General features: G+C 42.2%; 1 long non-coding RNA gene across 2 annotated transcripts in view; it reads right to left on the bottom strand.

Moving 5' to 3' along the window:
* Positions 1–13422: 13422 nt before the first annotated feature.
* LOC105373903 (uncharacterized) overlaps positions 13423–20064 on the bottom strand; it is a 40146-nt gene continuing 33504 nt past the window's right edge. For both annotated transcript variants that reach the window (XR_001739904.2, XR_923948.3), the window contains exon 4: positions 13423–16312. This is a non-coding gene — a long non-coding RNA (uncharacterized LOC105373903). The remainder of the gene's footprint in view (positions 16313–20064) is intronic.

The following is a 20064-nucleotide window of genomic DNA, read 5'->3' as shown; positions in this document are numbered from 1 at the left end:
TGATTTACATTTGTAGACAAAAGACCTTGTAGGTGCTGCTGGCAAAATAATAGACTTTTTTGTGCCCCACAATTTAGACTTGGAAATACTCTGAATAAGATTTTATTTTATTCTGCCTCACTTAAGCAGAGATGGAGTGTGTCTTCTGACCTATGGATAAAAGGCAGGACAATCACATAAAGAATTCTGCAGGGGTCAGAATATCTAGGAGGGAGCCTCGTGACCTTACATAATCCACATCATGACCTCACCTTTCTCCTTGGGAACAACAGGATGGTCTGTCACCAGGTGGCAAATCTTGTTTTGTTTCTGTGGAGCTCAAAATAACATGTCGGAATATACTTATGTACATTAGGTTGGTGCAAAAGTAATTGTGGTTTTTGCAATTACTTTTAATGGCAAAAACCGCAATTACTTTTGCACAACCCAATAACATATCTCTGGAAGTAAACACAAGAAACTGGTAATAAACTGTCTTCAGAGGGAGAATTGAGGATAAACATGGCATTTTTTTTTTACAATGTTTCTGCACTTTATGCTTTAAGGGAAATATTTCTTCATTTAAAAAAAAAACTGGTTTACAGTATTTCTTTTTATACCTCTTGAATTTTGATTGACCATGCTCAGACATAACATTTTAGTGAAGAAGGAGGAGGAGGAGGGTAGAGCATCTTTATTTTGGAAATAAAGAGAAAATGATGGCTTCCAGAAAGTGACATAGCAATTTTTATCACGGGTTTGCGTTTTGGGATTCTTAACCACTAACAGGGAATCTTGTTTTTGGAAGAGCAATAGATTTAAAAGGAAGAGAATAACAGTTACTTCTCTGCACCATGGATGACCTGCTGTCCTGCCCAGACCCCACAAAGCTCCACTGTCCTCCTAATCCTTCAAACATCCTCACGCCATCTTCATTGACTTGACGTGTTCTGTCGAAATACTCATTTCTTTTTTGCATTTGCATGTCTCTGGGGAGACTTGTGCTGAATCCACACATTCTCTGCTCTAAGACAGACAGATCTGGACTGGAAAGGCGAGGAGAGACTGTGACTAGCCGGAAGAATCTTCCGGTCAAAGCCAAGGTCCAGCTTTCCAGCTATTGATTGGTGTGCTGTGAGAGGCCAGTGGGTTAGTCTGCGGGGAAGGAGCAAGAGCTTAGAAACTCCTCTTTTCAGACTAACTTAGGATGGTGTTTGGCCTCGATCCTAATACTTGTCAGACAGGGCCTGTGATGAATTAAATGAATGCCCAAGGAAGCCGTGAACATTAGGAAATTGTGTTTAATCCGCTGCAACTGTTAAAGACTTGGCAAATGTTTCCACGGACACACAGTTGGGAGCACACAGCGTCCAGGCTCCGTGTCCCTGTCAGTGGCAGTGGTTTTGTTCTGTACACTTCAGCTTGAATGAGGCAACCAGCTAAGGCACCGAGTGTCCTACTTACAATGAGGAAGGAAGGGCTTGGGCCTGAAGAAAGACAGAGGACGGCCCCCACCAAGGGCTGGCTGTGTTTGTCTCATTTCCTTCAAATCCTGTCCCTGAGTAGAAGTATTCATGAGGAAATTCCTCATCTCTGTTTTTATATTTAACATATTAAAATAGAAGTATGGACGAGGAACAAAAAAGCAACATACTTTCAAATACCACTTGTAAGGAAATACTTCTGAAGTTAATTTCAGGGGCACTTTTTTTAGTGGGAAAACATGACCTTTCAATTTTACGAAATGGAAGATAGGATGAAACTAGAATTCTCTAAGACTGACTTTGAAATTAAAATATGGTGAACTTCATTAGTTTCGAATAAATTGTGCTAATTTAACTTCTTTAAGAAAACATCAGATTAGAAATGTTAAAGAAATATAGTTTGGGGTTTTTTGCTTTTGAATATATCTAGGGGTAGTAAGTAAACATTTTCTTTCTTCTTCACATGACTAGATAAATGAGAGTAGATTATTTCTAAGTAAAGTTTTTCTTTTAAAGTTCTAAAACATTTGTTTTCCAAATGATTTGAGCAAGGTCAAAAAATATAGCTTCCTTATATTCCTATTAAATGGTTTGATTTTCCTCAAGACCCCACCCTACTGGGGACACTTAGGTGGGGGAAGCTGGAGGTGGAGATGGAGTGTATTTATTCACTGGGGCTGCCACAGCGAAGTACCGCACACTGGGAGTCTTAAACAACAGATTTTTATTTTCTCATAGTTCTGGATGCTAGAAGCCCAAGGTCAATGTATCAACAGGTCTGGTTTCTCCTGAGGCCTCTCACCTTGACTTGCACGTGGCTGCCTTCTCGCTATGTCCCCACACGATCTCTCCTCTGCATCCACACATCCCTGCTATTTCTTTCTGTGGCTGAATTTCCTCTTCTCATAAGGACACCAGTCAGATTGGATAAAAGCCCACCCTAAAGATCTCATTTTCACTTAATCACGTCTTTAAAGGCCCTATCTCTAAATATAGTCACATTCTTTTTTTTTTTTTTTTTTTTTTTTTGGGATGGAGCCTTTCTCTGTGTCCTAGGCTGGAGTGCAATGGCACGATCTCGGCTCACTGCAGCCTCCGCCTCCTGAGTTCAAGTGATTCTCCTACCTCAGCCTCCCGAGTAGTTGCGATTACAGACTTGCACCACCACACCAGGCTAATTTCTGTATTTTTAGTAGAGACGGGGTTTCACCATGTTGACCAGGCTAGTCTCAAACTCCTGACCTCAGGTGATCCTTCCTCCTCGGCCTCCCAAAGTGCTGGGATTACAGGCAGGAGCCACCGCACCTGGCCTAAATATAGTCACCTTCTGAGGTAGCTTGGCATATGAATTTTTCAGAGGACACAGCTTGGGCCACAGCAGGGGAAACAGCTAAGACTCAGACCAGTTTATTCCAATTCTATTATTTAAACAGTTCCTGTAGACAAATGCTGGGTCCCTCAAGGTCTCTTCCTCTTCTCCTTCTGCCTGCTCCTCTCCAACATGGCCTCTGGGGTTACTGGGGTGTATGTGGTTTATACCAGGGGTCCCCAACCCCTGGGCCTTGGACAAGACTGGTCCATGGCCTGTTAGGAACTGGGCTGCACAGCAGAAGGTGAACGATGGGCAAGTGAGCATTACCTTCTGAGCTCTGCTCCTGTCAGATCGGTGCCAGCACTAGATTCTCATAGGAGGCCAACACTATTGTGAACTGTGCACATCAGGGATCTAGGTTGTGTGCTCCTTATGAGAGTCTAATGCCTGATGAACTGGAGCAAGTTTCATCCTGAAGCCATTCCCCTGCCACCGTCTGTGGAAAAATTGTTTTCCATGAAACCAGTCCCTGTTGCCTAAAAGCTGGGGGACCGCTGGTTTACAGGACCGTGGGTTGAATGATGACCCATGCTTGTCTGCTGGATCCACACTGATCTCCACAGAGGGACTGGTCTCCTTCCTGGTCTGCTTGAGAGCTGAGATGTTCCTGATCCCATGGCTTTGAGGAAGATCCGCTGGTTCCTCTAGCTGGCACCTGTGGTGCTGGTATCCCTGGTCTTGGGATCCCCATCTGCTGACCCAGGCCCCTGCTGGTCCACTGCACACTCAGAACGGCCACGACCTCCCTTCCAAGCATACGAGGAGGTCTCATTCCTGTGTGTGCCAGGTTTTGGGGAAAAGGACCACTGCTTCAGGCTTACCTAGCCCCTGGCTTCTCACGGCACCTGCCCACCATCATCTCATGCCGAGTTACACAGTCCCAACTTACAGACCTGCAGCTTCAGTTCTCCTGGGGGCCTGAGATGCTCTGGTTCCCCCAGATCTAGCTGAGTCCTTCTCTCTCTCTTTCTCCTGTCACTCATCACACACATACACACACACACACACACACACACACACACACACACGCATGCACACACAGTGGCCCTCAGGCAGAAGCAGGTAGAAATCTTTGTTTGAACTTCTCTGCTTTCCCTTTTGCTCTCTTCTTCTACTTGCCAGATGTGGGTTTCACTTTCCCTTCATCATATCCTCCTAGCCATAAAAAGTGGAAAACAATGACATATTGGTTTTTAAAAGTTTTAAAAGTGAAAGGACTTCTTTTTTATTTTTAAGAAAGAAACTCCATTGTCCAGGCTTAGTTCTTGATACATAACTTTAATAACTAAGTTAGTAATCCTTGCTCTCACTCCTACACCCTCTCTCGAGTCTGACAGTCAAGCCTATGGTGTTGTTGCATTTGATGCAGTTTTTTTAATTTGAGTCAAATCTGAGAAGTAACTGAGTTGCTCTACTGAATATTTGCCTTTTACCTAAAGTCCTGAAATGTCTTGTTTCAGTGGGTGAGAAGCCCACGGGAAATAAAGTTTCTAGGAGATGAATTCATACTTCACAAGAGTATCTTCCTTACATTCATTTGTGAAGTCCATGTGTATATCCCAACTGGAACAGGATTCTGAGCTCTGACTGGTGCTTTTGCAATTGCATCCCTGCTTTAAAATGCTCCAGTGATGCGGCCTTTGACGGGTTACTTAAACTTTTGAAGCCTAATCTTCATCTGTAACATAGGGAAAATAATACCATACCAATAAAATTATTGCGACGATTACATAAAATAATGCTTGCAAGTCCCAGATACCTTGTCAGCATTCTATAAATATGAATAATTATTATGGAAAACAGCTACTCCACTGAACATGGTGGCTCACGCCTGTAATCCCAACTCTTTGGGAGGCCAAGGCTGGAGGATCACTTGAGCCCGTTGAGCCCAGGGGTTCGAGATCTCACCATGTTGCCTGGGAAACATAAGGAGATCCTGTCTCTACACATTTTGTTTTTTTACGAATTAGCCAGGCATGTGGTTCTTGCCCGTGGTCCCAGCTACTTGGGAGGCTGAGGGTGATATGGGAGGATCTCTTGAGCCCAGGTGATCAAAGCTGCAGTGAGCTGTGATTGTGCCATTGCACTCCAGCCTGGGTAATAGAGTGAGACCCTGTCTCAAAAAAAAAAAAAAAAAAAAAACAAAGAAAAGAAAAGAAAAAAAAAATCCCAGCTACTCAAAGCTCTTGCTTCTTAGGAGAGTTTAGAAGATGCAGCTGCGATTGGTAGCGCCTTGAAACAACTGTTCTGGCTCTCTTCCAGCAGCTTCCTAGAGGCTCAGGAATTGGAATTCTTGGTCACCCAAGCAGAGTTCGCCTCTGTTTACTGAGGTCCCCATGTGAATAAATGGAACAAAGTAATCTAGTCAAGGAACATGAGGGAGTGCCACACTATGAAGCCTGAGGCTAAATAACTGGGATGTGATCCTGTGGGGAAAGAATGTGACGCTGGATGGTGGGAAGTCAGGGGGGTTTCACGTCAGACATCAGGCACCTGATTGAGGCCGAAGGTTAGTGACAGCATGGGTTAGAATCTCCTGCCCACGGCCGGGCGCAGTGGCCCACGCCTGTAATTCCAGCACTTTGGGAGGCCGAGGCGGGCGGATCACCAGGTCAGGAGGTTGAGACCATCCTGACTAACACAGTGAAACCCCGTCTCTACTAAAAATGCAAAAAATTAGCCGGGCGTGGTGGCGGGCGCCTGTAGTCCCAGCTACTTGGCAGGCTGAGGCAGGAGAATGGAATGGGCCCAGGAGGTGGAGCTTGCAGTGAGCCGAGATCATGCCACTGCACTCCAGCCTGGGCCACAGAGCGAGACTCTGTCTCAAAAAAAAAAAAAAAAAGAATCCTAGAATCTCCTGCCCACTTCTGAGTCCTCTTGGCTGAGCCTTGCTGCCGAGCGAGCATTAGGATGTCATACACATCACACAGGGTCAGTGTCCTTCCTTATGAGAAGGTAAAGGGGCTCCTGCCAGCTTCATAGCAGGTTTTCAGCCCCAGCCAGGCCTACTTGTCTGGATTCTAGACATTCTGGATTCATTTCAGAGGATGAGAGAAAGCTCAGCTGAATTTAGGGAATCTCGGGAGCAACAGGGCTAGTGACCCACGTCCATGAATATGATATGAGGAGCATCTTGAACCCCTAGGAGAATTGAAGCTGCAGGTTTGTAAGTTGGGGCAAACACAGCCCCAGCATTAACTTTATTGAGGATTAATTTATAGACATTGCAGTGGGGCTTGACAAATTGATACATCTCTTAATCACCACCACAGTCAAGATATAGAAACTTTCTATCATCCCAAAAAGTCCTGACTCTTGTTTGAGAGCCCATCTGTCTACCTGTGCTCCTTCAAAACCATAGCTTTAATTGCCATACCATATAACTCATCCATTTAAAGTGTGTAATTCTGTGGTTTTTAGTATGTTCACAGAGCTGTGCCACCATCATCACAATCAATTTTAGGACATCTTAATCATCCCCCAGAGAAACCCATTACCAGTCATTCTCCATTTCCAGACAACTCCCTTCTCCTTCTCTCCTCCCCAGCCCCTGGCAACCACTAACCTACTGTTTATCTCTAAAGATTTTGCCTATTCTGGGCATCTCATAAAAATGGAATCTTACAATCTGTGACATTTTGTGTCTGGCTTCTTTCACTTAGCATTATGTTTTAGAAGTTTGTTCATGTTGTAGTATGTATCAGAACTTCATTCCATTTTATGGCTGAATAAGATTCCATGGCATGGATATATCACCATTGTCTATCCATAAATCAGTTGATAAATATCTGAATTGCTTCCATCCTTGAGCTATTATGAATAATGCTGCTGTGAACATTTGTGTACAAGTTTCGTGTAGACATATGTGTTCATTTCTCTTGGGTATATACCTAGGAACGGAATTGCCGGGTCATATGGTAACTTCGTGTTCAACATTTTGAGGACCTACTAGATTATTTTCCGTAATGACTGCACCATTTTTGTTTTCCCAACAGCAGTGTATGAGGTTTCCAATTTCCCCACATTCTGGCTAACACGTCTTTATGATCATAGCCATCCTAGTGGATGTGAAGTGGTATCATATGGAAAGGAGGAATGTTGGAACCAATGACCGAAATTATGAAAATTGAGGTAAACAATGTCCCGGGACATTATTTCACTAACATAACGTTGCTAATAATGAGAAAGAAGGAACTAAGAGCAGCAAAAGAGCAAACAATCCTCTCCCTGAATAAAGGAGAAATATTTGAATGTGCCAAAAGAGCTACAGAAAACCAGAACATGTCATCCTCCTCAAACTAGGAGATATTTGCTTAATTAATTTCAGTCAATGCCCTGGATCACTTTGCTTCCTGTTAGTTTAGTCATAAAATGAAACAGGGTACAAAATGTCCTGAAGACTATGTTATACAAATTAAGTGCTTATCTAAGCAGTAAGAATCCATGGCTTTCAAACATTTTTTACCCTTACTCACAGTAAGAAATATATTTTACATCAAAATCTGGAACAGGCCGGGTGCGGTGGCTCACACCTGTAATCCCAGCACTTTGGGAGGCTGAGGCTGGCAGATCACTGGATGTCAGGAGTTTGAGATCTGCCTGGCCAACATGGTGAAACCCCGTCTCTACTAAAAATACAAAAATTAGCCGACATGGTGGTGCACACCTGTAATCCCAGCTACTTGGGAGGCTGAGGCATGAGAATCGCTTCAGCCCGGGAGGTGGATGTTGCAGTAAGCTGAGATCACACCACTGCACTCCAGTCTGGGCAATGGAGTGAGACTCCATTTAAAAAAAAAAATCTGGAAAACACACACATACACACATACACACACACACATGTACACACATACATACACACAGTAATAGAAGTTTTACATTAATTACCTCTACTACAGGGAATGCACTCTGATTTTTTCTTTCTAACCTATTTTATTTTACTATCTTTCTCATTTTTAAAAAATGCTGTTACAGACCCACTATGTTGATTTCATGACTCATTAATGGGTTGCAGTTCACAGTTTGAAAAATATTTATTAAATGGCCTGATGTGCAATGTCCTAATTTCTGAGGCCACACCTGCCTCTGCTGTTGCTGAGAAATCTCGGACCTTGGTCCAATGGAAGCTTTATTCAGCTCAAGCCTACAATAAAAGCTTCTGGAATGTGAACTGGACTTCCCAGCTATGTTTCCAGAGGTTTTCTCCCATCTCCTAGGGGGATGTGGTTTCTAACCCTCCTCTAAATTGCCTGGGAAACCATGGCTCTTGGCAAATCAGGATGGCGTCCTCAGGATAACTGACACCTCCACTCACCCATGTTCTGTTGGTGTTGTTGCCTTTGGACACTACCAAGGTACCAGGATGGGGTCCACCTCCACTTGTGGTCAGAGTTGGCTTGAGCTCTGTCTCCATTCTACTAGACTGGGCTCCCTTCTGGTTCTACAGCTGACCCTGGCATCCCTGCTTGACTACCTTACCATCTTGCAGAGGTGCTGTGGCAAACCTTTGCTCCTAGGCCACTGTCCACCTTGTCTCTGAGGTTATGTTGGTGTGCAGGACACCGACCCTCAATCTGAGGGCTCCAGACCTTCAGCCAACAAGGATTGTGCTAGGATAATTGCACAGAAAGGAGATGCCAGTGTCAGAGGAAGCTATTCAGTGGAGGCCTCCATCCAAAGTGCTGGGGTTGAGACTTCTCCTGACACTCTTCTCCATGTTCAAAAGCAGGGATATGACCACAGGTTTTCCCCTGGCTTGGGGACACACTCTGCTTCCCCAGGACACTCTCCCAAGTAGTTTCAGAGTATCATTATCTCTCTTACACTGTGTGTGTGTTAGAGGGAAGGGGAGATGTTGACCTAAATGTTGACCTAGATCTTGACCGATTGGAAATCCCCAAAATCCTCTTCATAGGCCCTGGGCTGAAGGACATAAGCTCTTTGAACAAATGGATCTAGGTCTGAAACAATGGTCATCAACTACAAAATTGTATTAGAATTGCTATGCAGAACTCATTCCAAAGTAAAATCATCTTTCCTTACAATGACATCAATATGGGATTGATTCCAGTATACTGTTGACTCTCAACGAAAAGCAAGAGGCTTTGATACTATACACATATAAGGGAGTGTTCAGTACTCTTAGTATACTACCATCTATACAGTAAGTACTTAGAAGGATACTTATGGGATAAATGTAGAACAGTTTAAGAACATTAACTTAGATTGTGGACTAAAAGAATCTCAAGGTTGGAAGGACTCTGGAGTGAATGTAATCTGCTGCCATTGCTCTTTGTATTCCACTTTTCCTGGATACGTTAGGAATGCATTTAGCTGCAAATAACAGAATATCTTTTTTTTTTTGTTTTTTTGAGACAGAGTCTTGTTCTATTGCCCAGGCTGGAATGTAGTGGTACAATCTTAGCTCACTGCAACCTCTGCCTCCCAGGTTCAAGTGATTCTTATGCCTCAGCCACCTGCGTAGCTGGGATTACAGGCATGCACCACCACACCTAGCTAATTTTTGTATTTTTAGTAGAGACAGATTTTCACCATGTTGTCCAGGCTGGTCTTGAACTCTTGGCCTCAAGTGATCTGTCCACCTCGGCCTCCCAAAGTGCTAGGATTACAGGTGTGAACCACCATGCCCGGCCCAAATAACAGAATATCTGACTGCAGTAGCTTAAACAAACAAAAATGTATTTTTCTAACACAGCAAGGTGTCTGTAGGTAAGCACTTGCTGGCTTTGGTTTAGCAGCTCAGTGATATCAGAGCTATTTCTCCTTGATTTTCTTGGTTTTTACTTGTGGTTTTAAGATGGCTTCTGTAACTCTTAGCATCCCATCTGCATTCCAGGCAGAATAAGGGAGAGGGTGGCCACCAGCTATACCTGTCCCTTCTTATCAGGAAATCAAAAGCTTATCCAAATGCCCCAGCGGGGAATTCCTCTAAGATCTAAGATCTAAGATCAAAGGTTAGAACTGGGTTGTCTGTTCACCCTCAAGTAAAATTAGATATAGTTGGAAAGAAGGAAAGTAGAGGATGGATATTGAGTAGACACTGTGAGTGATGGCCAGATTTCCTCAATCAGGGACCTTTCATACTTGCTTGAAAATCTTCATGGAAAGGAGACAGACTATCCCATTTTTGGCAGGTCCAGAAAGATGTTTTTATTTTGAATCCAAATCAGCCTTCCTCTAACTCACCCCTGTGGTTGCTGGTTCTGCCCTGTGGGAGCTACACCAATGGATTTGAATACTTCTTCCTAATGACAGCCATACAAGTATTTGAAGACAGCTGTCATATCTCCTCTAACTCTTTTCTCATCCACATGAAGCATCTCCAGTTGAGTCCTCATGGGACAGAACTTTAAGAGTTCTCATGTTTTAGATGCTCTCCTTTGAGTATGCTCCAGTTTATCCATGTTTCTACTAGACTTCATTGCCCCCGATGACACCACTGGTCAAGGGGTAGCTTGTGAAAAGCCAGAGATGTCAGATTATTATTTCCATTGTCTGGGTTATCTCTAAGGTAATTCAAGTTTGCATTACCTTCTATGTTCTTCCTGCTTGGGATGGAGCCAACTAAAGAACAAGAATCTTTTCCACCCTTTCATCTTCCTTTACTTATGTAATTGGACTGAAGACCTTAGAACAAAATTTATATTCACCATTAGTATATTTTACGGTGTTAGATTTGACTTGTATTTCTAATTCATTGAGTTATTTTCAGATTTCAATTATATTATCCAGGGCATGCTATTCCTCCCAGATGGACATTATCTGCAAATGTGACAAATTTATGCTCTTCATAATTCTAAGGAGGTCAGGATAGAGTCTTTCAACCTGTCCCCAGTGTCCACTTTAGTTAGGGGGCTTCAACATATAATAAATTCACATTGTGATTATTCAGCTCACACTTCAACTTTTGTCCTAAGAATGTTGTGAGATCCTCTTTCAACTGCTTTGCAAAAATTCGATCAAAAGAAGCCGTCTCCTAATCAAACTAGTAAAGTTTATGTAGAGGACGTTTTTTCCCCAGTGAGTCCACACTAGCTTCTAAGAGCACCAGTTCCCCTTCTGAGTTCTTCAAAATTAACCTTTACATATGCTAGTCCAGAACTTTTTATGATTATGTTGTCCTTCTAATACTGGATACTGAAAATCCAGAGCAAAATTCGGAGCTGAATCACAGCAATTGTTATGAAATTGCGCATTAAACCAGCGGTGTGCACAAAGGCAAAAATTATGTGTAATTAAAATAATTTTTGAAAATCCCTTAAATGACTCACAAAGTATAGTATGCATGGTACACCATGTACAATCTTGTACAGTAAGTCAAATCTTGAGAAACACTGAGTTCTCAAGATACTAAAGTATAAAAAGAAGTCCATCACAGAACATTTTAAACATTTTATCAAATCCATCTCTAGGACTACATGAGGGAGGGTGGAGAATTCCAAGGTATCCCTGCTTGTCAGTAAGGTATGTTTGTGTTGTTTTAATATGAATACTTTATTATTTATTTATTTATTTTGAGATAGAGTCTCATTCCGCCACCCAGGCTGGAGTGCAGTGGCACAATGTTGGCTCACTGCAGCCTCTACCTCCTGGGTTCAAGCAGTTCTCCTGCCTCAGCCTCCCGAGTAGCTGGGATTACAAGCGCACACTGCCAGCTAATTTTTGTACTTTTAGTAGGGAGGGGGGGTTTCACCACGTTGTCCAGGCTGGTCTCAAACTCCTGATCTCAAGTGATCCGCCCGCCTAGGCCTCCCAAAGTGCTGGGATTACAGGCACGAGGCACGGCACCTGGCCTAATATGAATACTTTATAATCTTAATACATATTAATAGATTTTTTTGCTGGTATGAGTACTGAACAGTTATTATCTATGAAAGTGCCTACTATAAGATCTGACATGTAGGAGGTCTCACTAGATTTGAACCTAAATCTTTCTTGATTAAATATTTATACACTTATTTATAACTATTCTTTGAAAAGTTAAAGAAAAGGTTTTGGACATTACCATCTTATTTTTTCAAAGCAGCCTGTTCTCTTTCTCACCTTGGGCATTGATTGATCTTGTGATTGTTTCTTAGTGTAAGTTAATGCTTATAATTAGTGCCTTTAATAATGAAATTGCAGATTTGAAAGATGGACTTTATTTTAAGAGGACTGTTAGTTCACATAACTAACTTCATTATTTATCAGTCCTATGATCTTAAGCAAGTTAACATTTTAGAAATTATTTCCCCATCTTCAGAAAAGGTTATTGATAACTACTTCAACAATTTAAGTCATATATGTGAAGCACCCAGCCCAGAGTAGATCCAGGTCCCAAAGTCATATTTCAGGAAAAGATAACTTATTTCAAAACGAGTTATAAAGAAAAATAAAGAATTATAAAGAGTTATAATGGGTATCCAGTAATAATATCACTGGTATGGTTTGGTTCTGTGTCCCCACCCAAATCTCATCTTGAATTGTAACTCCCATGTGTCAAGTGGGGGATCTGATGGGAGGTGATTGGATCATGGTGGCAGTTTCCCCCATGTTGTTTTCTTGATAATGAGGGAGTTCTCATGAGATCTGATGGTTTTATAGTGTTTGGCAGTGCCTCTGTTGCTCTCTCTCTTCTCTTTCTTGCCATCTTGTGAAGAGGTGCCTGCTTCTCCTTTGGCTTCCACCATGATTGTTAGTTTTCTGAGGCTCCCCCAGCCATAAGGAACTGTGAGTCAATCAAACTCCTTTTGTTCATAAATTACCCAGTCTCGGGAAGTATCTTTATAGCAGTGTAAGAATGGACTGATACAATTGCCTTGAACCACATTAAGTAGCAATTTAAGATGAATTACATATACGATAAAACACAATGAAATGTTTTATGTAATCAGTCTTTCCTTTAAAATGTTATGTAATCAGTCTTTCCTTTAAAATGTTGACTATGGATAAATTTGTTTTTTGGGGCTACCATAACAAAGTAACAAAAACAGAATGGCTTAAAAAAAGGAAATTGTTGTCTCATATTTCTGGAGGCTAGAAGTCTGAAATCAGGGTGTTGCCCAAGCCATGCTCTTTCTGATGGCTCCAGGGGAGAATCCTTCCTTGCCTCTTTTAGCTCCTGGTGTTTGCCCATAACCCTTGACATTGCTAGGCTTATAGAGGCATCACTCTAGTCCCATGGTTGTCTTCTGCCTGTGTGTCTTCACATCATCTTCCCTTTGTGTGTATCTGTCTCTGTATCCAAATTTCCCCTCTTTAAAAGGATACCAGTCATGCTGGATTAGGACCCAACTCCGACGACTTCATTTTAAGTTGACTTGACCCTACTTCCAAATAAGGTCACATTCTGAAGTAGTGGGGGTTATGACTTCAATAGGTCTTTTGGAGGTGATATAATTCAACTCATAATACCAGGGTTGTGCAATGTTTCAGGATAGTTAATGGACGTAGAAGCTAACCTCAGGGCGGTAGGGGTTGGGCAGAAGGGGAAGGTGGAAAGGAAGGATTTTCCACACCCACTTCTGTTAACACTGCATTTGTAGAGGCCAGATTCACATGAAGGGTGAAAAGTGGAAGCTTCTTTAAGGCCTTAAAATTTCACCATTTTTAACTAAGAGTAAAGAAAGTTTCAAATATCTATTGCTTTTCACTATGAATCTTAGAGTTCAGAATAACAAGATAAAGACTTTACTTCCTCCTAGCCAAAGTCATAGCGGAACTTAACACGGACTTATAGCAAATATATTTAATGTGTTCAATACAAATTAGCAATGGAATCGGATAATAAAATATAATAGTTTGACATATAATGAGAAGCTACATCTATAGTCAATAAATATTAGTTAGTTCCTCCCTTCTGTTGACTGTCAACTCCCCCAAAACTAATTTTGTTAGACTCACTGTAGCGAAGGAAAACACACCTTGACAGATAGTGTCTCAGAAGGAGGATTTCAAGAAAAGCTATTTATAGAACTTGGGGTCAGGCTCAAGTGGCATTAGGCTGATTTTTCACTACAGGGAACTGATTGATGCCAGGCATAGTTGTTGACATAACAGTGTAGTATTGATGGACCCAGTGAGGGAAGGCTTTTGATGTGATACACAAGCTTTTTTCTCAGGTGAGCAATCTGTTTCTGATAGGAGGGTTGGTTTCCCACATGAGCAAACTGTTTTCCTAGATAAATAAGTTTGCAGGAATCTCCTGAAGCCAATTATTAACAGTTAAATTATTTATTGGTTTACATATATCTTCCTGAGCAATAATTTCCAGAACATATGAACATAGGTGTCATCAGTTCTTACCTTTCTCATATTTTGCCATTGAAAGTATGGCAAAAACCGCAATTACTTTTGCACCAACCTAGTACAACTTGAAATGTTTCTATTTGAGGAATTCACGTTCAGTTATCTTTAATGAGTGAAATAATTCGTATACTTTAAAGCACTATTTTCAGTAGATGAAAGGATCTGTCCCTTGCTGCAATAGAAAGACCACCTTCATATCAATCGTCCTTTTATAAGAGGTATCCCTAAACCTGTGGTCAACACATGGGGCTAATCACATGACTGTCATAGGTTTGGTTTCTGGGCAGGCCAGAGAACCTTTTGCTGTTTTATATTCCTGATTGTAGCTATAACTTCACATTTTCCATTATGTATGCCATTAATCATAAGAGAGAATAAGTTGAGAGACTTTGAATAAATGATAATCGAATGAGGAAACTCTATCTCCATAACCATAAACAGAACTCAAAGCACATAACCCTCAAAGAAGCATTTCTCAAAAAGCTCAGCATATTGGCCAGAAAGCCAACATATTCCTCACCTGCTGTCAAGGTTTATTGTCGACATGTAAGTCAACTGAGTTGGGAAATATTAATATGATAGCATTGAAAGAAATCTGCATTATCAGTACTAGACATCAAAATGGAAGTATGCGGGAAGCAGGGTTAATAGACAGGTGTGAAGCTGCCAACCTATGAGATTTTTCTCTAAATAAATAAACTATGCTAAAATAGCACCCTTTCCCTTAATAGCAGATCAGCATTTCTTCAAATCAGACTGTCATATTTTCTGCAATAGCAATCACTGATTTGATGACATAAGCATCATTTCTGGTTCTCATTTTGAGACAAGTTATATTCCACTGGAAATGTTCAAGCATGGGAATGTATTTTGGTATAATATTTTGTTGCCTTTGACACCAAGAATGAAGACCAGAAAAAACAGTTTCTTGAGAGACTCTAAACGACATGGCTCACAGCGTTTTTTGTTTTTTTTTTTTTGAGACAAGTTCACCATCGCACAGGCTAGAGTGCAGTGGCATGATCACAGCTCACTGCAGCCTCAACCTCAAGGGCTCAAGCAATGTTCTTGCCTCACCCTCTGGAGTAGCTAGGGCTACAAGACTGCACCACCACGCCTGGCTATTTTTGGTTTTTTATAGAGACAGGGTCTCACCATATTGTCCAGTCTAGTCTTGAACTTCTGGGCTCAAGCGGTCCCCCCACCTCGACCTCCCAAAATGCTGGGATTACAGACGTGAACCACTGTGCCCAGCCTTATGGCTCACAGCTTTAAGACAAATCTCTTTTTTTTTTTTGAGGTGGAGTCTCATGCTGTTGCCCAGGCTGGAGTGCAGTGGTGTGATCTTGGGACACTGCAACCTCCACCTCTCAGGTTCAAGTGATTCTCCTGCCTCAGCCTCCTGAGTAGTGGTAATTACAGGCCCACACCACCACGCCTGGCTAATTTTTGTATTTTTAGTAGAGACGAGGTTTCACCATGTTGTCCAGGCTGGTCTTGAACTCGTGACCTCAAATGATCCGCCCACCTCCGCCTCCCAAAGTGCTGGAATTACAGGTGTGAACCACCATGCCCACCCAGAAAAATCTCTGACAGAGCAGCCTGAGAAGGTGAATATTCATGACTGTAACTTTGATAATTATTAGCCAGAGAAGAATAAAGAAGCATATTTGCAACTGCACATGAGATATATCCTCTTACAGAAAACTTAAACAGGTCTTTTGAGAGCTGGTGAGAGATAAGGAAAAAGCAACTGCCCCAACAATAAACATACGCACATCCTCAAGGTCACAAGCCACATGTTTACTTTGAGACAGATTCCTGACTTGCCAGCGGCTTGCTTTCTCCTTGATGACCTCAATAGAGCCAGGACTTGCATTTCTCAGGTCACTTGGCTGATTGTGCACACCTTTGGCACAAGAGTATTATACTTCTTGCTGATAGAATTTTGTTCTCCTTCTAGAATGTTCTTCTCCTTCTGAACATTAGGATGCCACAGGAGGTCGATGGAAGTGGTGGGAAATGGGTTGAGTTCCCCCAACTCTACACTTCTAGTCTGGTTTTAAATTCTGGTCCTCTTCCAAAGTCCATGCTTTTTTTCTAGTGCTAATTTATTCATTCACTCAATAACATTTCAGAACCTCCTATATACCTTTATCAGCCAGAAACCCTAGAGAAAACAAAGGAAGCAGTTAAGAGCTTGAGGAGAGTTTAATAAACAGAGTGTTTAAAAGGTTCAGGAAACTATAGGGAAACCACAAGGAATAATGTAGTGGGCTCTATTGCCATTCCTAAGCCTCAAAGGACAAGAGGATAAAGCAGTTACTAGGACTTGGGCATAGCGGCCTCTCTATGAAGAGGGCGACCTCACAGGAGCTGTGACCTTCGTTGCAGGACTTAGCCAGCTTGCAGCAACCCTACTGGGAGGAAGCCAGGGAAATAAATATCCTACCTTTATCCTCCTCCCTCTCTCTGACCTGCTGTTAATGTTTCCCACTGCTAGAACCAGAGGTGGATTTGCCATGAAGCTAATGACTGTTAACCAGCAGCAACTTTCATGTACACTGGTCCCTTCTAAGACTCTGGGTGGGCCCTAGCAATGTTCGCATGGTCATGGGGTTTTTGTAAAATGTCCAAATGTAACACACCTTTATTCTTTTTTTTTTTTTTTTTTTTTTAAAGACAGGGTTTCACTCCCATCACCCAGGCTGGAGTGCAATGGCGTGATCTCAGCTCACTGCAACCTCCACCTCTCAGGCTCAAGGAATTCACCTGCCTCAGTCTCCCCAGTAGCTGGGAGCACAGGTGCACGCCATTGTAGCCAGCCATTTTTTTTTCTTTTTTTGTATTTTTTGTAGAGATGGGGGTTCACCATGTTGCGCAGGCTGGTCTCAAACTCCTGACTTCAAGTGATCTACCCACCTTGGCCTCCCAAAGTTCTGGGATTACAGGTGTGAGCCACCATGCCCAGCCTCCAAATGTAACACACCTGCAGCTAGTTAAGTTTGCTGTCTCTTCACACTCTCCACTAGACTTCTCCTATATCATGTGGTACTGAAAATGATCATGGGTATTTGAAGGGTCCTGCTGAGGGGAAGTTGACTTGGAGATATGCTTACTTTGCATTTGGGGGGAAATGCATGTGGCTCACAGTCCTATCTGTGTCTTTTCCTTTCCAGTGGAGGAATTTTCAGGAATACTCCTACCATACTCTGTGCAGGATCAGAGTCACACTGTGATGTCACTGTGTCCTGTGGAGTATGTGTGTGCGTGTGTGTGTGTGTGTGTGTGTATGGGGAAGGGGCTAAGGGATCGAGTTGAAAAGATCCAGAAGCCAGTCAGAACATTTCTTCAACCCTTACAACTCATCTAGGGGAAAAACAAAAAAAAAACACATTGCCAATGTATTTCCTGAATTTGACAAAAATACTAGAAATTTAAATGATGTCACCAGTAATAGGCTATGAGATAAAAGAACTTTTAAAAAATAGTACACTGTGCCAGAAGAAAAATTGAATTATCTAGTCTCTTCATTGTACATAATATTACAAAACTGTTGTCACATGAAGAGGCACTCAAGAGAATTCAGACCAAAAATGTAGGGGAAAAATGATTACAGAGGCATATCAGGAAGTTCATTGACAAAAAATATGATGCTATTTTTCAGGATGTATTTTTTTCTTATTGAAAATATTTACTTTTGTACCTTATTTTATATTCATAATTTTATAATCTTTTTATTTAAAAAATATGTTTTATAATAGAGATGGGGTCTCACTATATTGGCCAGGCTGGTCTTGAAACCCTGGCCTCAAGCAATCCTCTCACCTTGGCCTCCCCAAATGCTGAGATTACAGGCATGAACTACCATGCCTGGCCTATAATCTTATTTTCTTAAGGAAAACACCGAAGATGCTGTGAGCTTTAAGCCCCAACAAAACCTACTCCACCCCTGGGCCAAACCCACCTGAAAGCCAGAGGGCAAAGGAGTTGGTTGGTGTCACTGTGGGCCAACTTCCCAGGGCACAGAGCAGAACAGAGGAGGCGGAGAGTGGGTCTGGGTTGCAAATAATAGATCCCAGGACTACACCAGATACTGCCTCAGGTGTTGGATTTATCATGAGAAATAACATGGACATGGTCTCTGCCCTTGAGCAGTTTATTGTTTAGTGAGAAAAAGAAGCTGGCAAACAGGCATTACAATGCAATCTGCTGAGTGCTGTGCTATGGGAGCACTGGGTGACACAAGAGGTGACTTCAAGGGCTGCCTAGCAGAAGATGCATTTCTGCATGACAGGAATTAAATGAATGAGTCATTGAAACATGCCCTGAGGTCCCAAGTGGAAGGGGAGAGAGAGGCAAATGGAGTGCAGTGAAATTTTCAAAAGAGTTGGGAATAAAAGACATTAACAAGTGTATTGTAAAGTTGTGCTATCACAATGGTCAACTTATGTTAGAATGCAGACCTGGGCTACTTAGTTTTTTTTGTTGTTGTTGAGACAGAGTCTCGCTCTGTCTCCCAGGCTGGAGTGCAGTGGGGTGGTCTCGGTTCACTGCAACCTCCGCCTCCCAGGTTCAAGCAATTCTCCTGTGTCAGCCTCCCGAGTAGCTGGGATTACAGGCACCTGCCACCTAACCCAGCTAATTTTTGTATTTTTAGTAGAGATGGGGTTTCGCCATGTTGGCCAGGCTGGTCTCGAATTCCTGACCTCAAGTGATCTGCCTGCCTTGGCCTCCCCAAAGTGCTGGGATTACAGGTGTGGGCCACCGTGCCTGGCCTACTTACTATTGTTATCTATCAGTTATCAGATCGAAATGTATCTGGTAATTTCTGTGATTCCTTTTATCCTTTAATATTAAAAAATTATAATATTTAAATAATTTTTTCCTTTTTTATAAAAGTAATATATGTGGGAAATATAGACTATCTAGAAAATACAGATGAAAATTGAAAAAGGAAACAGTCTCAACACTATTAACAGCCACTGTTAGTATTTGGGGGTATATTCTTCTGACATTTTTTCTAGGCATATGAATCCTTGTGAAAGTTACACTTTATGTAAGAATTTAGGCCAGGCGCAGTGGCCCATGTCTGTAATCCCAGCACTTTGGGAGGCCAAGGCAGGCAGATCACCTGATGTCAGGAGTTCAAGACTAGCCTTGCCCATCTTGGGCAAGGCACTCCAGCCTGGAGTGACAGCCTGGGTGACAAAGCATAATTCCGTCTCAAAAAAAAAAAGAATTTATAACTCTTATGAGTTATAAGACCATGAACCATGTGCCAGGGAGTTGGATTAATGTGGGGTTGCAATTGTGGATTTATAGATGATAGTGCCAAGCAAGCTAGAGTCTGCTATGCTGTGATGGCATGGATATAAACGGAAAGAAGGTTTAACATGTGAGAAGCTGAAGGGGGATTGTCTCAAGCCCTATAACCAAAAGTCTCTTGGTCTAATCAGTCCAAAGGGAATCATCACGCCTAGAATGCAAATGTAACCCAGTTGAATCCGTGATCCAAGTGATCCATCTCAGGACAGTGTTCCCTTCAAAGGAGGATATTCCAGCAATCAAAGTAATTTCAAAAAATCTCAAGCTCTTGGTCTTTTTGAATATCACAAAGGGATATGTACCCATAGAAGTGCTTCTTAAAAATGTTCTTTCCTTTCCCAACAACCTCATTTAAAGATGACAGAGACCTCTGCGCCATTCACCAACCCTCCCTGGGAAAAATACACTTCCCTCAGCTCTAGCCTTTGCGCTTCCTCACTTCTTTTTCCTTCTCCAGTTTTTCCAAGTCTGTGCCAGAAAAAGCCAAAAGGAGTCAATCCTTCAAGGAAAGACCCGGTTGGAGGACTAGGGGAGAAAAGAACTGAGTAAGTGAAGCCAAATTCCTTTTTGGGAGGAGGGGAGAGGGAACCTGGG

This window comes from Homo sapiens, chromosome 2 (genome assembly GCF_000001405.40).
Source record: "Homo sapiens chromosome 2, GRCh38.p14 Primary Assembly".
In the NCBI taxonomy this organism is placed as follows: Eukaryota; Metazoa; Chordata; class Mammalia; order Primates; family Hominidae; genus Homo; species Homo sapiens.
This window is presented reverse-complemented; position numbering and strand designations above follow the sequence as displayed.